The following is an 18,839-nucleotide window of genomic DNA, read 5'->3' on the forward strand; positions in this document are numbered from 1 at the left end:
TTTACAGGTAGAATGGGTGTACAGTGAATTTCTACTGTGTACACACTTATATACGATGAAATCTGAAAGATATAGAGAGAATTCTGGCAGAAATCTTGAATTTTTCTTCCCTAAGACCCTGATATTGATTCTTAACCGAAGGCAATGATCCTCATACATTTCTAGATTCTTTTCTATGTGTCCTGTCTGGGACTTTTCCAGAGAGTGAAGTGAGACAACTCCTTGCTTAAAGGATTTTATTACTAAATTTTTAGTTTTGGGTTTTTTTTTTCTAATTTACTATCTGAAATTTCCATCTGTAAGTATTGTTTTTATTTTTTTCTTTCCTCTCTCCTATTTACTCCCTTTCTTTTACTCTACCTCCCCTATCCCCATTTGAAAACAAGTAAAATAAGGGTGAAAGAGAGTCAATGACTTGTTCTAGGTCACATAGCTAGTTATCAGCCAAATGAGCCCTGGACCCAGGTAGACACACTCCAGCCAGTCCACTGTGATGTGCAGCCACTCTTCCACCAAGGGAGCAGTGCACAGTTTTCATCTTATTCTTAAGAAGAAGCAACCCTTTTAGGGCCCTCCACTACATTTGGATAAAATCCAAACTCCTTCTTTTGCCTTCAAGGCCCTGCTGGATCTGACCCCTTTGACGACCCCATCTGTGCCCCAATTCCACTGGCTTCCTCTCTGCTCTGCAGATGCCAAGTTCTTCCAGCCTGAGAGACTGTGAAGTGTAAGTGTGTTGTTAACATCATTCACAGCAGGTCTCCATTCTATGCTGTTATATTCATACCTACACTTAGTCCATTTGTATTGAATTAATGAGTGTGAATTAATGAATGTGAGGACATGAGATTTGGGAGGTGCCAGGGGCAGAATGATGTGGTTTGGCTGTGTCCCCACCCAAATATCATCTTGAATTATAGTTCCCACAATCCCCATGTGTCATGGGAGGGACCAGGTAGAGATAATTGAATCATGGGGGCGGTTATTCTCAAGTTATTCTCGTGATAGTGAGTTGAGTTCTCAGCAGATCTGACGGTTTTACAAGGGGCTTTCCCCTAGGCTGGTCACTCATTCTTCTCCCTGCCACTATATGAAGAAGGATGTGTTTGCTTCCCCTTCCACCACGATTGTAAGTTTCCTGAGGCCTTTCTAGTCATGCTGAACTGTGAGTTACTTTAACCTCGTTCCTTTATAAATTACCCAGTCTCAGGTATGTCTTTATTAACAGCATGAGAATGAACTAATAAGCCTCGTTTCCTGTTGCCCCTGCAGGCTCTTTGAGTCCTGAGAGCTCATTTATCTTGTTCATTGTTGTGGCACAGGAGCTGGCACAAGTACATCTTCAATGAACACCAAATGATGTTTGTGGTCACTCCTCACAGACTCACCCTCAAGCCCTAACACAACTGTCAAAGCATGGAATTCCTAATCCATCTTATAAACCACTGAGACAGGCTGCCAATCAGATGCTGAGACTGAAAAAAAGGAAGAAAGGGTGTCTGGTTGGTTACATTAAACATCACAGCTGGCACTTAAAGGAAGTGGAAACTAGCTTTCTGACCTCTGTGGTAATCAGCTTACACGGTGAAGCAGGAGATTTGAATCCCCTTATCTACTCCTAGATGAGAATATTATGTCTCATTTACAGTTACAGCCTCCTGGACCAAAATATCATATTTTATGAGTAATAATAACTGTAAGTAAGATGAAAGCCATCGCAAAAGAAAATGAAAGCATTTAAAATACAACAATTACTGAAATAAAATCATCTTTAGGACATTTTTTCTGACAAGTTCTCTTAGGTTTTATTAATTTCTTCTAAGAATAACACCGTGAATCTTTTTTATGAGTGTTTGGATCCTTCATGCACAATCTTTGCATTTATTCACTTAAGGCTATGGTACAAAACAGTGTGGGATCTCAGCCCATTTCCTGCTTTTTTTTTTTTTCTGTGTTAACATCTTGAAAAAGGAAATGGTAAAGGGTAGATTGTCTAATGGTATAAGAAACCTGTGCATGTACACATTTTGTAAGCAAAATAATGAAACATAACAAGCACAAAATTATAAGACGGTCAAATTTCAAATGATGACATATACATTTATTCAGTAATTCTAGAATTTTGCAATATTTCCTTATATGTCTTCAGATAATTTCAATTCCTTCCACTTTCTATTCATTCCATTTAATTCTTTTCCAGAACTGCTTACCATTACCTATGAAATAATCAGCTTATTTTCTGTTTAAAATGTTTCTTAGTGAACTCTTTTATCTAAATGCTAATTAATTATTTCCTTTAAGCTTCTTAAGGGGTTTTCTACATTCTATTAACAGCACACCTGCAATGTCAAATGAAAGATAAGGTTTATGAGCCATGTAAACTATGATAAAACATTTTGAACTGTCTATGACATCCTGGCGGGAAAATAATGGCAGTGTCTGGTTTTTATAACGCAATACTATTGTATTAAGGCCACTAAAGTCATTTCAAACATTGACAGCATAAAGTAGTTTTATCCTGATAAATGAGCAATTTAGCAAAGTGTTTTAAGAAACAGAATTATGGTTCACTTTATCTACGCACGTATGTGTATATGTACATTAAATTTTTTTCAAACTTTTCAGTCACGGTAAATAATTCATAGAACGTAATAGAAATATTGCAATTTTCCCAAATTTCCAAATAGTTGGTATGACTAATTCACTTAAATTAATAGAAAACTTCATTCATAGAAATTGTGATACACGATTAGACAGAGTAGAATATGTTAACAGTTGGTTTAAGTTTAGACCAACTCAACAACTATGAGTCAATAATTTAGTGGGTAAGTAATCATGTATTAATTAGGTAGACAAATAATGATTAAGTGTCATTACTTATTTAATGACTAGAATAAGTAACGGTAAGAAAACAAACTGTCTTAAAATTATCTTTTAATTATTCTTATATAATAATCTCAAACCACTTCATTGTCATGTAAACTACAACTTGATAACAACTAGATTTTAAGCCCCTTGTCTTATTCATCTTTGTAATGCCAAATTCTTACTGGCTGTACATATAGTATAGACCCAATAAATATTTATTGAATACATAAATGAATTATACATGGTAGAGAATTTTGTTTTCCAAGTTTTGTTTTATTTTTGTTTTCTGGGGCTAACAATCTACTCTCTTGGCTACAGTACCTGAGATAGCCTTCCTGGCCCCCGTGCTGGGCTCTGAGCTCTGACAATGTAAAAATCCAAGTTCACCAGGTACACTGCAGAGTTTTCTTCCCAATATTTTGATATTTAATGATTCCTAAAGTGCATGGCATTTCTTCATGCCATGTATTTCATGACCAAAAAAAAAATTGCATTTCTTAATCAGTGATTAAGAATTGACCATTTAAAAATGAAGATTTTTACGTAGAAGCATAATACTGAAGATAAAATGGATGCTTTTAAGCATTTATATCTCTATATATCATTTTATCATACATGTTTGTATGTATCTATGTATGTATACGTATATGTGTATGCATGCATGTGTGTTTCTCAATATCTCTATCTATCTGTCTGTCTAGTAATATTATCATCTCTCTAATCTCCTTAATGGGGAAGGGACCCTGCAGAGGATGAATTGCTCCAGGCCAGCCCTTTACCCTGGTTATTATACCATTTCTTCAATCTCTTATAAGAAAGTTCACTATAGAAAACAGACTAAAGAGGAGTTACTTTAATTGAAGTGGTTCAAAGCCACTGGTGAACAAAAAATATCTTTCATTGGAACAGAAAAATTTTAGGTGGCAGTTCTAGACCTAGCTCTGATATAAACTGCATGTACAACACTGGGGAAATTTATCAACCTCCCTGGCCTTATGTTAACACCTATAAAAGAAAAGAATTGGGCAAGATGTTTTCTACAGTCCCTTAAATCACTAAAAATGCTTTGACCATAACAGAAATAAATCAATCTTGCTTAAAATTTTGTTTTAAATCATAGCTATTTCCTGCAACTTATCTTTTCAGGTTGGTTATGGATTGACTTATGTCCCCCCAAAAGAAATGTTGAAGTCCTGACTTGAACAGTCCCAGTACATCCCAAATGACCGTATTTGGAAATAGGGTCATTTTTAGATATAATTAATTAACATGAGGTCATGCTGGATTGGTGTAGGCCCTTTATCCAATATGACTGGGGTCCTTATAAAGAGCGGAGAAGAGGCCAGGCGTGGTGGCTCACGCCTGTAATCCCAGCACTTTGGGAGGCCGAGGCGGGCAGATCACGAGGTCAGGAGATCGAGACCATCCTGGCTAACATGGTGAAATCCCATCTCTACTAAAAATGCAAAAAATTAGCAGGGCGTGGTGGCGGGCGCCTGTAGTCCCAGCTACTCAGGAGGCTGAGGCAGGAGAATGGCGTGAACCCAGGAGGCAGAGTTTGCAGTGAGCTGAGATAATGCCACTGCACTCCAACCTGGGCGATAGAGCAAGACTCCATCTCAAAAAAAAAAAAAAAAAAGAGGAGAAGAGAGAAAGAGACAGAGACACACAGGGAGAATTCCAAATGACAACAGACGCTGAGATAGGAGTGACTGTCTATAAGCCAAAGAATGCTAGGGTTGACCAGTAAGCACCAGAAGCTGGGGAGAGGCAAGGAATAGATTCTCCTCAAGAGCACCCACAGGGAACAAACTGAGCTGACACCTTGATTTTAGACTTTCACTCTCCAGAGCTGTGAGAGAATAAATTTCTGTTCTAAAACACTCAGTTGTGGTACTTTGTTATAGCAGCCTCAGGAAACAAATATAAATATTAGGAAACAAATATAATATTTTGCATATAAATTGCATTTTTAGCTTTATGTATTAAATATATGGTTGGTGGAATAAGCATTTATAACAAGACATAACCCAGTTTCAATTATTTTTCCTTAAATCACATCTTATTTTAATTCATTACAAATACACTGCATTACTAATCCAAATTGTAGAAGTCTGAAATTTCTTTAGAAAAAATATTAATTTGCTGGTAATAAGCATTTTTTTGAAAATGTCTCTACCTTGAAACAAAACACAGCTACTTAAATAGTCTTATTTTCTCCTGCCTCTAGTTTTTAGAGGCAGTAAAGGGAAGTGGTTAAGACCTTTGCCTTAAGAGACCATCAGGATTCAAGTTCTGATTCTGCTGCTTCCTAGCTACTGTATGGGACCTTAGACAAGTTACTTGGCTATGGTGTCTCAGTCTCCGAAATAATAAAAGCATTAATCTCTTATGGTTGTTGGGTCAATTAAAAGAATTAATACATGTCAAAGTCTCAGATGGTTATTGTCTCATAGCAAGGGCTATAGCCTGAATGTTTGTGTCACCCCCACATCAAATTCATATGCTGAAATCCTAACTCTTAAGGTGATGGTATTCGGGGGTGAGGCTTTTGGAAGGTGATTAGGTTGTGAGGGCAGGGACCTCATGATTAGGATTGGTGTCCTTATAAAAGAGACAGCAAAATGCTAGCTAGCTCCTCCCACCATGTGAAGACACAGTAAGACCCTTTCTATGGACAAGGAAATGGGCCCTCACCAGACACTGAATTCGCTGGCACCTTGATCTTGGACTTCATAGACCCCCAGAACTATGAATAATACATTTCCATTGTCTTTAAGCTAGCTAGTTTATGGCATTTTGTTATAGAACCCTGAATGGACTTTGCCAGTGAGCTATTCAACACATGCTACATATTAGTCTCTCTTTTTTAAATTTTTTAAATTATACTTTAAGTTCTGGGATACATGTGCAGAATGTGCAGGTTTGTTACATAGGTATATACGTGCCATGGTGGTTTGCTGCACCCACTGACCCATTAGTCTCTTTCTTTTTACTACTTGTAACTTCCTGCCATGAATAGACTGCATAAAACAACTCTGACCCATGACTTACCCGATCACAAACATTATGTAGTCCTCCAACACATATATAAACATGTTAAACATCATCCAACTGTTGACCCCATCCAACATTCTGCTATTTTTCTCCATTACTTTATATTTGTTGAAGTACCACCCTCCTTTAAAACCCAGCTCATATTTTATATCCTACTGATAGTCTTCGTAGATCACCCACGTATGACTTCTTCTCACTCCCTCTCCTATATTCCCATAGCACAAGGGTGAAGCTCTTAAACACAGCATGCCTTGGAGTTATTTGTGCATACTATGTCCCATTTGGTAGACTATCACCTCCAGGAGAGTAGGGTCTGTACCTTTTCAACTTTGTATCCCCTATAGTACCCAGCAGAGAATTTTACACTTAGTAGAGCCTCAATAAATGGTTGTTAAACTTGGTTGAACCCACATATTTTTTTTTCTTTGTGGCAGATGCCCTAAGACAAAACATAAAATAAATGAATTACTTTTCTTATTTCCATTGCAATATATATGCCCTGGGCTAGTGGGTATTTGCAAGCCTGGTTTAGAACTTAGGGAAGTCATCAATCTAGGAAAGGAGAGGAAATACATTTTAAATCACAAAAGCAATATAGCCTTATATAAGGCCTTCTTAGCAAAGCAATTATCAATGGCTCAATAACCCAGGTGCTAGTGTTATTATGAACAAAAGTCTGAGGCTGAGAGACAATGAGTGATCTTAACTTTTATATTCCATAGGTATGCAACTCAATGGAACATGTACAGATGGAAGGTTTAGATCTGAGAATCATATCTGTGTATTACAATGCAAATAACTGACCATCCTTCTAAAGAACATCTGTTGAAACATCTGAAAGCAGTTGTTTATACGGCTGCCAAAATGCTAAAAAATATAATAATTCTCCAGTGAGGTTAGAAATATCCAGGGGAAGAAAAATACTTTTTTATGTAGTTCTGCTTTATTAAATCTTGTTGTTTTTTCTCTAATATGGCACATAGGAGATGCTCAATAATATCTGTTGAATGAATAGCAGAAACTCATTAAACAGTTGTTGAATGAATCATCTCTGTTTTTTTAGACTTATAAGGCACATTTTCAGAAAACTGTATGCCCAAGTTTTACCACATTGTATACCATTTTTATTTGGCATAAATTTAAGTACTGCTGCTCTTGCCCTGAACATTATAAGATGTAATGAGCACGGATATCTATAAGAAAAACTATCTTTTAACACTACAGAAAATGTATAAATAAACCTAGATATACAATAGCAGTATTTTTAATTATCTTAATATGTCACTTTTATTATTATGGGACACTTAAACTTTGAGTTGTGAGCTCATATGAATCATATTCGCTTCAAAAAACAAAATAAAATTTAAAATTCCTGCTAACGTGTATAGTTATGATACCTCTTAGAAGATTGTAACTTTGGATTTAAAAGCACCAAAATATTCTGGTATGTGAAGAAGAAGACTGCAGAAGATGAAGAAGCCATTTCTCCCCATACCCCCTTTCTTGAATTTCCAGCAGCTCTTTCTTCCATACTCCTGTGTAAGTGAGGCAACTGCACTCCCCAAAGACTGCCCAAATTTTACTCTGCCAGGTTTCAGCACAGAAAGAGCATGTTAAATAATACATGTGAATTTGAGTGTAACTAATAAAATTGGAACGTTAAATAGCAGCATGTTTTTGAAAACCAGCCTCCTTGTGATGACGTTCCTTGTGCAAGTCCATGGGAAATAATTCTGAAGGGAGTGTTATTAATTAGTAATGTAATTTATCTTCTGGAAGCCCTTTCCTTTGATGGCCGCTGTGGTACAGTTTATAAGCCTCCAAACAAGTGCTCAAAGAAAACTGTTCAAACCACAATTTCAGCTTTGTTTTCACCCTTGAACAGATAAGAGTAAAACTTATTTTGGTATATCTAAATTTTACACATGCCTCTTTATGGTGGAGGATTATGAAGTTATAAATATATATTTATGAAGAGTTTTTAATGAAATGGTAAAATGTCTGGGATGTAATAAGAGGATAAAATAGTAGACTCCAAAATTAAATTCATGGCTTCTGATTCCAGATTTCTTGGTTTCAGTTCTCACCACCCTATATGAGGTACGCAACTATGGCAATATACTTAATTGTTCCGTGCCTCAGTTTCCTCAACTACGCTATGAAGGTGATAGCAAAAATTATCTCAAAAGGATATAGGGTGTTCAAAATAGTGCCTGGCAAATAATAACAAATTATTATTATTACTGATTCACAATAATTTCAAATTTATAAAGGAAAAATGAAGAGTGAGGAGGGTTACCTTGAAGGGAATTGGTAAAATGTTAATATGTACTTCTAAATGACATGATTATGGGCAGTTCTTTTCTGCTTTGTATACTTTTCAGTATTTATTCTTTTAAAATAAACTCAAAGAATTAAGTTTTATGCATCAATGGCTTGATGGAAATTAAGGCGGAAATTTGGAATAGGTTAAAATGTATAACTGATTAGACTGCAGCATTAATGAAATATTAATTAAGCCTATTGTGATGTGACAGAATTAACATTTACCTTATTTTACTTAATTTTAAGTACATTCTGACAAATTACTTTTTAAAGTTCAACCAATGTCAATTTTACATTCATAAAGTCAAATGTTTATTTTACTTAATTTTAAATACATTCTAACAACAAATTACTTTTTAAAGTTCAACCAATGCCAATTTTACATTCAGAAATAAAGTCAAATGTTTATTATAATGTCAATATTTCAACCTACTAAAACTAAAAATATTTTAATTTTTGATTTAAAAAATCCCACGCAGAAGTCCCAAAGGTGCCTTTCATGTTTAAGCTTTAATTAGCAACCACTTTGGTCTCTGACACATATTGCGCAGATATTGAAGTGTTAATATTACTGCAGCTTGATTACAAAAGGCAATGATTAATTTTAAAGCAGACAAAAAAGATATGCCCTGATTACAAAGGAATGATTAAGGCGGAATGTCAGACATTGCACATTTATAGCAGTCTTTGCCATCGTCAAAGTATAAGACTTTGTAAAAGTTTATATTTAGAATCACAGTTACTTTGTACTTTATAATATTCAGTGTTTGCGCCTTGGATACCGGGCAACCCTACTCCAACTGGGCCTAAGACCTTTGGGGTTCACATGCCCAGGGCAAACCTGCCCCCCACAGGATGGTCCCAATGAGCCGCCGTAGTTTAAGTTCTCACAGGCAAGGCCCGACCTGAAGCACTGGCTCCAGCCTTAGGGAAGGTTTTGGCCGTGGGTTTTGTTGGCACGTACCATTTTGCTGAAAGACAGAGCACCTTGAGGACGTTATCCCTAAAATGAGAGAGGACTGGGATTGAAAGGCTGACTACAGAAATGGCTGCTGCCCAGACGCCCTCAAAAGCCAAGGTCTTGGCAGCCTTTTTATTTGCCACCAAAGCGAAAAACAAACCCAGGGAGGGACGGAGGCCTGAGTCAGGGGTTCCGCCAGGGAAAAAGGCAGACCTTGAAACTGCCCTCTTAGGGCGTGAGGGAGAAAAGCCCGGTTTGTAAACTGTAACGGGAAACAAAGGCTGAGGGCAGGAAGGGGCAGCAGCGGCCAGCGTCCCTAGACCCTCAGACCCCTCAGACACCGTCTGGCGTCGGGCTCCATCTTCTTGCTGGGCTGGCGACAGAGGGTTGGAGACAGGTCTATCTGGGAATGGTTCTAGAAGAATCCATCTTCTTTATTCTGCTTTCCAGGATCCTCAGAGTTGGTTATAAAATATTTAAGGGCGAGAAAAGGATCGCAGGAGCCAGGCCCTGAGATGAGCTTGGAGTCCCTGTTTCAGCACATCATCTTCACCGAGCATCAGGCGGAGGAGAGTCGCCGTTTGATGCGAGAAGGTCGGGGTATTTCTGTCCTTTGCATGGGGCCTTTTGTCTTCTGATGCTGGGTGCTTGGAGCAGAAGGAAATCCCGAAGGCAGTGGTCAGAGCCGTTAGGGGAGCTTGCATGCCATGCTGAGGGAAAGACAACTGAAAGGTGGCTTATCAAACGCCACCAAAATGGGGACTTTAGAAAGATTGATGTGTTTAAAGATTTAATTTTTATTACAGTAAGGTCGGAAATAACCAGATGTCGTGAAAAAATTAAGAAAGCAACGGAGGAGCTGAATGAAGAGAAAATCAAGCTGGAATCTAAGGTATTGAAATGTAAAGCATACTAATTATCACTTGAAAAAGCCTGCCTTAACTTGACTTTTGGGGGATATTTCAGTGTTTAACCAGTTGTCCTTCAAGTAGGAAGCACGTTACTCTGTGCTGGCTGTTTTAGTTCCATGTTGCCTGGTGATGTTTAAAGTTCTGAATCCCGTGACACCTTCAATTCCAAGACGAATTTGCCCTAAATAAACTAAGGTAATGAAGAATTCATTGTCCATTTTGTGGGATGGTTAAGGTTTTAAAAGAGCACAATGTCATTAGAAGAATCATTATTCCACTTATTTAATAAGTAGTTGGTGCAGTATATACATTTTGAATGATAAATAATTTGTGTGCTATGTTGATATAACAATTGCATGTAAATTTCAAACAAGCCCCTGCCTTTAGTTTTAAAAGTCTCTACCACATTTTAGACATGCCTTGCGTCCGAAGTATACCTTTTCCATTAGCGTTTCTCTCTTTCCTGCAGCGTTTGTAATGTTCTGTTATTTTAAAAAGAAGCAAGAGAGTCTGATGGCTTCTTGAAGGATGGATAGAATTTTGAAGAGGCAAATAGAAGGAAGTAGTAGGAGGAAAGCGTTCCAGACAGAAGGAGGAGGCAGATATGTGCAGTGCATATTGGGAAAGGAATCTAGTCAAAGCAAAGGGCTGATATCTGGGAATAGCAGAAAACCGTTGCAAGTTCCTGATCAGGGAGCAGTAAAAGTGGGTTTAGGTAGCCTAGTATGGTGGCACATGCTTGTAGTTCCAGTTACTCAGGAGGCTAAGGTGAGAAGACAGTTGTTCAGTTTAATGCCAGCCTGGGCAACATAGTGAGACCCTGTCTTTAAAAATAAAAGGTAGTTTTAGGAGGATCTTTCTGAGCTCTGATTGGGAAGATGGGAATAGACTATTAGGAAGCTAAGAATATTATTTAAGTGTGCCACAATGAAGGCCTCGCTATGGGTGGGGACAGAGAGTTATTCAAAAATATTTATTAAGTACCCAGTGATGAACTAAACAAGCACTGTGTAATATGAAGTCTGTTTGAGGAAGTCTGTCTGCTTCAAATATAACTATTTTAACTTACCACTTTGAGGAATTTTCAGTTTTCTTTGGGAATGAAACAATCAGAGAACACTTCTCCATCTGGCGAATTTCAGCTTTTCTTTCCAGGTGTTGCTCAAACATCACCAATAAAGCCTTCTTTATTTATACAATATTTATTATTTATACAATAAAGACATCTTGGTAAAATTTTAAAATTAAACAATGATACATACTTGTATTTGTGTTTGTATCCCCCACTATTTTGTGAGCTGCGTATCTGGAATTTTTTTCCTTATCCATCTTTTATTCTCACTGCCTGTTATCTAACAGTATATAGTATACAGTAGTGTGTTGAAAGAATTGAGTACTAATAGTTTGATAGATAATAGGGAGAGTCTTTTAAAATAGAATTTGTAACGGTTATTCAGTGAGATCCTTCCTCCTGTTTTGCCTGTGAATAGTAGGTAAACTAGCTGCTACCAGCAATGCTGAAAGCTGGTGGTATGGGCAAAACATTAAGAATGTTATGATGCAACTTTCTTTCTCTTGAAAAGGAATTAAGACACTTTCAGGATTGATATCTAGAAGCTAATAGAAGTAATGGGCAAAATATGAGCACTTACTGTATGCAGGGGCACTGTTCTAAATGCTTCTCCTGTATTAACTCCTTTAATCCTAACAGGAATCTTGTGATGAGACCCCATCATTATCCCCTTTTTATGAGTGAGGAAACTGAGAGGTAAATGACTTGTCCACGATATATAATTCAGAAACAATTAAACTACCATAATGAAAGTAACAATTGAGTAATAACAGCATATTTTATTAAAGCAGATTTCTTAAGCTCACTTTAAACATTTTTCGTCATGACATTCATGTATAATAATATAACTGAAGTTTTGTATCTTGTTTAGGTTAATATTTTTAAAAGGTTGCTTATACAAGTTTTTGTACAAAATGCATTTTTCCTGGATTGGTGAGGATATTGACCTGATATAATATATTTTTTAATGTTACTCTGTAATATTTTCTTTGTTAGCAAAGTTTTGTTTTGTCTGCAAATGGAAATGTAATTTGTTGATATATACACATACATTAAAAAATGTTGATTCAGTTGTTTTTACTAGAAAGAAGACAGAAAAGGCCTACCATTGTTTAGAAACATTTGTTGAAATTACTAATTAATATAGGTTCATAAGCATGCATTGCTTTTTAACCAGCTCATATATGTGGGTAATAATACATTTGTATCTTACTAATAAAATTAACATATGAGGGTCACAGTTCATACAATACTAATTTATAACTGAAATAGTTTGATTTGTATTATAGTCAAGATGGTATGTATATGTGCATAAAGATTTTAAAAGTGGAATCACAATTATAATGCATATGACTAATGGGAAGAACTGAAGAACTAATCCTAAATTGATTTCTTGTTTCTTTTATTCTGAGTTAATTATATGTCTGCCAATAACAATGAAAATATATTTACTTGAATATTTGACTTGGCATTTATTGACCCATTTATCAAACAGTAGCAGCACAAGGAGAAACTATTAATAGAACATAATTTGAATAGAGCAGTGCTTGAGCTATTGTACAGTCATACATTCAGAAAATTTGGGGGGCATTTATTTTGGATGTTGTTTCTGGTCAATAAATGTATTTGGGAAGTACAGTATTCATTTTTTTTCTTTTATGTAAAACCCGGATAGCATGTAATTAGAACTTGAATGATAGCATTTGCCTTGCAGGGCTCAATGAGTCTTTTAAAATATATGGTTGCAAAAGTCTCAGGTTATATAGTATGAGTACTTTATGAATTGGACAGCTACACTATGCCTGGTTAGGTTTGGTAATATGAAAACAGAAAAATGAGAACATGCCCTGGATTTGCATTCATGCTTACCAATACATCCAAAACTTCTGATAGTTAAGGAAAAGTTGTATAGTATTGATGACAGGGCAAACCAAAATTAAGGACTGACAGAACATTGGTAGTTTCTTTTAAACATCTAAAAGAGCTTCTTCTATTTTTAAAAATGGCATATAATTAAAATTTTGACATTTAATTTTTATAAACATATTACATAAAACTCAATATAATGCCATATTCCCTTAAGAGGGAGTAAATGGAGGAAAATCTGAGGCTATTTTGTGAATATTTTGTTTATTTTTTCTGTTTCCAATTTTAACTTGTGTAAACACCATAACAATAATAAAAGAATATTTCATGAATTTTTAAAGGAAAATTGTATTGAAATTAAAAAGTAACTTAAGGTGGCCCCATTTACTTCTTTACCTCAATATGTATGTGTTCTTTTATTTTAATTGGTAAAAGTTAGGAAACCTCCAGAACAGCAGGCAAAGTCATATCCTTTAGTACTGTATTACCTAATTGGAGAAAGAACAAAATCACAAATTATTATCATTTATAGTATTGAAATGGAGTTTTGTAATTGGAGTGCTTTTTTCTTTCTTTACACTTAATCAAAAAAATTTAGATCCTACCAATATTTAATTTTATAGTTGGCAATTATTCATTCAACAAACATTCATTGAGCAACTGCTAAATCACACTATGAATACTTGGCAAATAAATTATATAACACCTTCCTTCCTGAATTACAGGATTGACATCAAGCAATTTCAACTATATAAACCTAACTGTAAACTCAAAATTTTTGAAGTTCTCATTTAAAGAAAAAATTTGTTTCCATTTTCTCTATGAAATTCTATAAAGAAAGCCTTATCATGTTTGTCATGAGTAATTATCCAAAACTTGGAAATAGGCAAAAAAGGTCACTGAGTGTCCTTTGAGTATTGTATTAGACATTGTCCAGTAGCTCACCTTCCTGAGGACAGTCAGGTTTATGGGGGTGTGAACCTTTGTAATGGGCTGTTTTTTCTTGGATATGCCAATCATTCTTTGACCCCAGGGCCTTTGCACTTGCTGTTTCCTCTGCTTGAAATGCTGATTCCATTAGCTGTTATTCTGTCATGCACGCTCACTTCATTTAGATCTCTCCCAGTAGAATCATGTGGGACTTTTAGTGCTAACACTAGGACAGCCCCATGCAAATCTTGATGGTTGGTTAGCCTAAGTCTCTGCTCAGTTGTCACCTTAGAGCATTATTCTTAAAGTGTGATCTCTGAGTTCAAAGGGGTCCCCAAGACACTTTCAGGGAGTTTGTAAGGTCAAGCTATTTTTATGATAATACTATACAAAGGTACCATTTGCCATCTTCTCTATGTTAATGCACACATTGACAGTGCAAAAGCAGCAGTGAGTAAAACTCTTAGCACCTTAACACAAATCGAGGTGGTGGCACCAAACTGTACTAGTAGTCATCTCGTATTCTTCACTGCCATGCACTCTCAGTAAGAAAACAAAAACCGCTAGTTTTACTTAATGTTTTGATTGAAGTGTCAAAAATATTAATTTTATTGGAACTGATCATTGAGTATATTCATTTTCAATATTGTGTACGATCACATGGGTGGTACATCTAAAGTACTTTTATATTCCGAAGTGCCACGATTGTCTCAAGAGAGAGCATGTGTGCAGTTGTTTGAGATGCAGTATGAGCTAGCTATTCTTTTTCTGAAACGCCATTTTTACTTAGATAATTGACAGTCAAGTTGTAGTTATTTAGATTTGGGTGTTTGGCAAAATTTTCTGAAAAATAAATGAAGTAAGCCTAAAATGTCAAGGCAAACATCTGACATTCTTCTTATTATTTTGCCAATGATAATATGCAAGCTTTCAAACAAAAATTAGAATTTTGGAGGATTCCTATCTATCTTGGCAGCTTGGCAGCTTCCTGGTACTTAAAGATTTTTCTGGTGAGTTCGTTAGTGATATTAATGAATATGAATGTTACTTTTGAAGCAGTATGTTTCAAGATGTTTCAGAATGTTACTTTTCAAAGCATATTATGAAATATATCAACATTTGGAGGATCTGCATAATTCAGGGAAGCAGTAAGTAATGCATAAAGTTACAAAACTGTGCATAGATAAAAGGTAGACTCAAAGTGCAATGTAGACCAATGGATTTTATTATAACATAGAATGAAAAGTTCATTGAAACGGCTTCAGATTCCACATTGCAACTAACCTTTAAGGAGCTACCACATGGTGAATTTTGATATAGTATCAAAGAAGAATATGCACAATCATTTCCAACTACATATCTGTGCACTCCGTATTCTCCAACTGAAAAACGTATTACAAAAGATTGAGTAGAAGCAGATATGAGAGTCCAGCTATCTTCTTTTTTAATTTTTTGTTTTTATTTATTTATTTTTAAGAGACAGAGTCTCACTCTGTTACCCAGATTGGAGCTCAGTGGCACAACAACAGTTCACTGCAACCTCAAACTCCTGGCCTCAAGTGATCCTTCTGCTTCAGCTTCCTGAGTAGCTGGGACTACAGGCCTCTGCCACCCTACCTGGCTAATTTAAAAAATATATTGTTTTCTAGAGACAGGGTCTTGCTATTTTGCCCAGGCTAGTTTTGAACTCCTGGCCTCAGGTGATCCTCCCACTTTGGTCTCTCAAAGTTCTGAAATTACAGGCGTGAACCACCAAACCTGGTCTCAGCTGTCTTCCATTAAGCCAGATGTTAATGAGATTTGTAAAAAATCTATATGCAACTCCTTTTTCTAATTTGTTTTTGTTTTGGAAAGTCATTTTTCAATACAAATGTGGTATTTAAAATGCAATAGGATTATTGTTATTAAATTAATGTTTAAAAATTTTTCAGTTTTAATTTTGATACAGAAAATATTTCTAGATATAATTCATGAAAACAATCAAACAAAAAGAAATTCTCAATAATTTTTTAGACTATGAAGAGGTCAAAAGACCCAAAAATTTGAGGCCCCCTCTCTGTAGAGGCCCCTCCCTGACCTCCCTATATAAAATAGCATTACCATCTCTCCCTGTCTCTATGCTGTGTGATATGTACCACCTCTTGGCATATTTTATATTGATCTGTTTATTATTTGTCTCCCTCCAGTGGAATGTAAGCTCCACAAGGGATAGAAATTAATCTATTTTGTTCATTGCTGTTATTCCCAGCATCTAGAACAGTGCCTGAATAATAGTAGGTATTAAACAGACATTTAGTGAGTGAATAAGTTAAAATTTTTCTCATAGAATCCTGTTTTCTATTTTCCTCTGCCTTGAATTCTACTTGTTTGATTTGATGCCTTTCTTACATGGTGGTAGATTTTCTTATTAACTTTAAGATTTATTATTGATTTTATTTTATTGAACTTATCTTTAGAAGAACTTATCTCTCCTGGCTGTTCGACATATTCCTTTGATAGAAAAGATGTCCCTAAGAAGCAGTTTCACCCCTGCTGCCAGGGCCTCACAGGTTTCCCCTGTTAAGGACCAGTTTTTATGTTAAATTCTGAGCTCAAGATTTCTGCACTGTATGGATAAGAGAATCTCAGGGTTCAAATTCTCAGGATATGACTCGTTTTCCACTCATGGCTCAATGGGATATAGCTCACTTATACACTGCATCTCTAGGGCAACAGGTGGAGTTTTTTATCCATCTTTCGTAACTGGCATAGATATTTCTCAATTCCTGGCAGTACAATGAGTCCAACCCTGGCTCTCTTTGCCTGTGATTTTTGTTCTTATGTGGGCATTTAAAGCCTAATCCCTAATGCCTGTATCCTTTCTGAAAGATGCTCCTGTGGGCTTGAATTTTATCACCATCCTTACACTGAGCTGTCTATTTGTTTCTTGCATGAAGATTTCCCTCCTCCTTTTGGCTTAGCTATGTAAATGATAAATATTTTAAATGTAGTTAGATTTTATCTAGCATTTCTCTTTGTTTGGAGTAGAAAGTAAGTCCTTTCTACTTTTGCTTTTACTGCCATATTAACCATAATTCTGCACTATAAAACTCTTCAATGCCTCACGTTGTCATTCTTGAGTTCTTATTTTTTTATTTGTTTTTTGATGAGTCTGTAATTGTAATTTTGTAGGAGGAAGTTGTGAATGACAGATCTTCTAAGCTATTAATATCTGAAATTTCTGTTATCTTCACACTTGCATGGAAACTTGTCTGTACAGAATTATTGAGTCAAACCTTTTTTTACAACATTTTGTGGATCTAGCACTATTATATTCTGAAATTTATTAATGCAGAAGAGAAGTATTGAAGTCAACCTGGTTTTTAAAAATCCTATTTTAAGGTAACCTGTTAGGTTTTGTTTTCTTCCCTGATTGCTTTTATGATTTTAAACAATCTATAATTCCAAATTTGGTACAGATATGGTTTTTTTTTTCTGGAACAAGGGTGAGCCTTCCATTTTAACCTCAGCTATTATTTCATAGAGTTTGTTTTCAATACACCCATTTCTTATAATTTAGAAGAGCTTTATTCTCTTTTCTCTGAATTGAATCCTCAGAAGTCTGGGAAAACTTTGTATCCTTTACATCCCTAATTCTATTTTTTGCAGTATTAGTTTTAGTTATTTAATGCTCTCTGCAAATTTAAATCATGTGTTGTCTTCTCTTTTTTAACACTCTAATTTTTAAAAATTTCAGCTTGTTCTGTTTTTATCTTTCTCTGCTATGTCCTTCCTTGCTCTTGTTTTCTAGTGGACATGTCTTTGTTTGCATCCTTTTAAGAACAGTAAGTAATTGATTACAATTTTTTTTTCATCCTGTGCTCTTCACTGTAATCTTTTGGATAATTCTCTTTATCTCTTCTGTTAACAGTATTTTTCATAGGGTTCATGTTGTTATTCTGTGAGATTTGTTCAGACCTGCAATTTGCCTATAAATACAATATATAAATTGTTTTTTGTCCTGTTCTCATTTTCTTGAATACTGGAAGAATCAACTACTTTCTTAGAGCTAAAGCTGATTGACAAGCTGATGTGAGTACCCCCAGCCCAATTTCTAGTGTTCTTGTAGTGTAGCTTTATTGCCTGAGATATGATTATTTCTTGCACATGTGCCAAGTTTTCTTATTTGTTGAGGAAGATGTATGTTTTAAAGAATGTGTGACATTTTATAGTTCTTCCATTAAAAGCAGTGCATGAATAAACACTACCTCAGCATCCCTTTGTTTTGTATCCTAAGATGTGTGGTGATAGGTAAGGTAAGGTACTGCCACCTGAGTTGTCAAATAACACAGAAGTTATCTTACTTTAAAGTTGCTCCCCAGGAAGAGTCTTTCAGATTAAAACGTATCAGTACAAGATGTTCTTGACCGGTCAGTATTTGTGCTTTGCTGGTCTTTCCCTAATCAGATTACTGTCTCGCTGAGATGAGCAGCTTTGGAGGAATAGGAGTTTTATTTGAGGAAAAGAGGAAGAATAATTTTGCAGTTTAGGGGTTATTTTGAAAAGAGTTGACTGTGGACTTTGGAACAGGAGGTGAGTTCTGAAAAGGTGAGTGGGAAGGATCAAAGGCAACTGGCGACTTACAGCTGTACCTGTGATCTGATGCTGATAGGAAGAATTTCTCGTGTAGGCTTTGTTGCATATATGGTCTCATGGATTGTTATTGCCTGAATTCATATTTCAAGATAAGTTAAAAGGCTGTATACCTCAGTTTCCTTTGTTCAGATGAGTTCCACAGTTTCAAATGTAGTCTAATTTCTTCTGGTTAAAAATTCCTCCCAAGAGAGATAGAGGAAGGAAAGGGAGAGAT

General features: G+C 35.8%; 1 protein-coding gene across 5 annotated transcripts in view; it reads left to right on the forward strand.

The window, feature by feature from the left end:
• Nucleotides 1–9,162: 9,162 nt before the first annotated feature.
• The window catches only part of CCDC172 (coiled-coil domain containing 172), a 55,582-nt gene continuing 45,905 nt past the window's right edge, over nucleotides 9,163–18,839 (forward strand). For 3 of the 5 annotated variants that reach the window (NM_198515.3, XM_006717820.5, XM_011539771.3), the window contains exons 1-3: nucleotides 9,163–9,328; nucleotides 9,662–9,805; nucleotides 10,018–10,103. In NM_198515.3, the coding sequence (NP_940917.1) occupies nucleotides 9,727–9,805; nucleotides 10,018–10,103 (165 nt within the window). In that variant the 5' untranslated portion in view covers nucleotides 9,163–9,328; nucleotides 9,662–9,726. Of the gene's footprint in view, nucleotides 9,329–9,360; nucleotides 9,465–9,661; nucleotides 9,806–10,017; nucleotides 10,104–11,872; nucleotides 11,891–18,839 lie in introns of those variants that run through there. The other 2 variants (XM_017016206.1, XM_047425192.1) reach the window with 2 other exon arrangements.

This window comes from Homo sapiens, chromosome 10 (genome assembly GCF_000001405.40).
Source record: "Homo sapiens chromosome 10, GRCh38.p14 Primary Assembly".
Classification (NCBI taxonomy): Eukaryota; Metazoa; Chordata; class Mammalia; order Primates; family Hominidae; genus Homo; species Homo sapiens.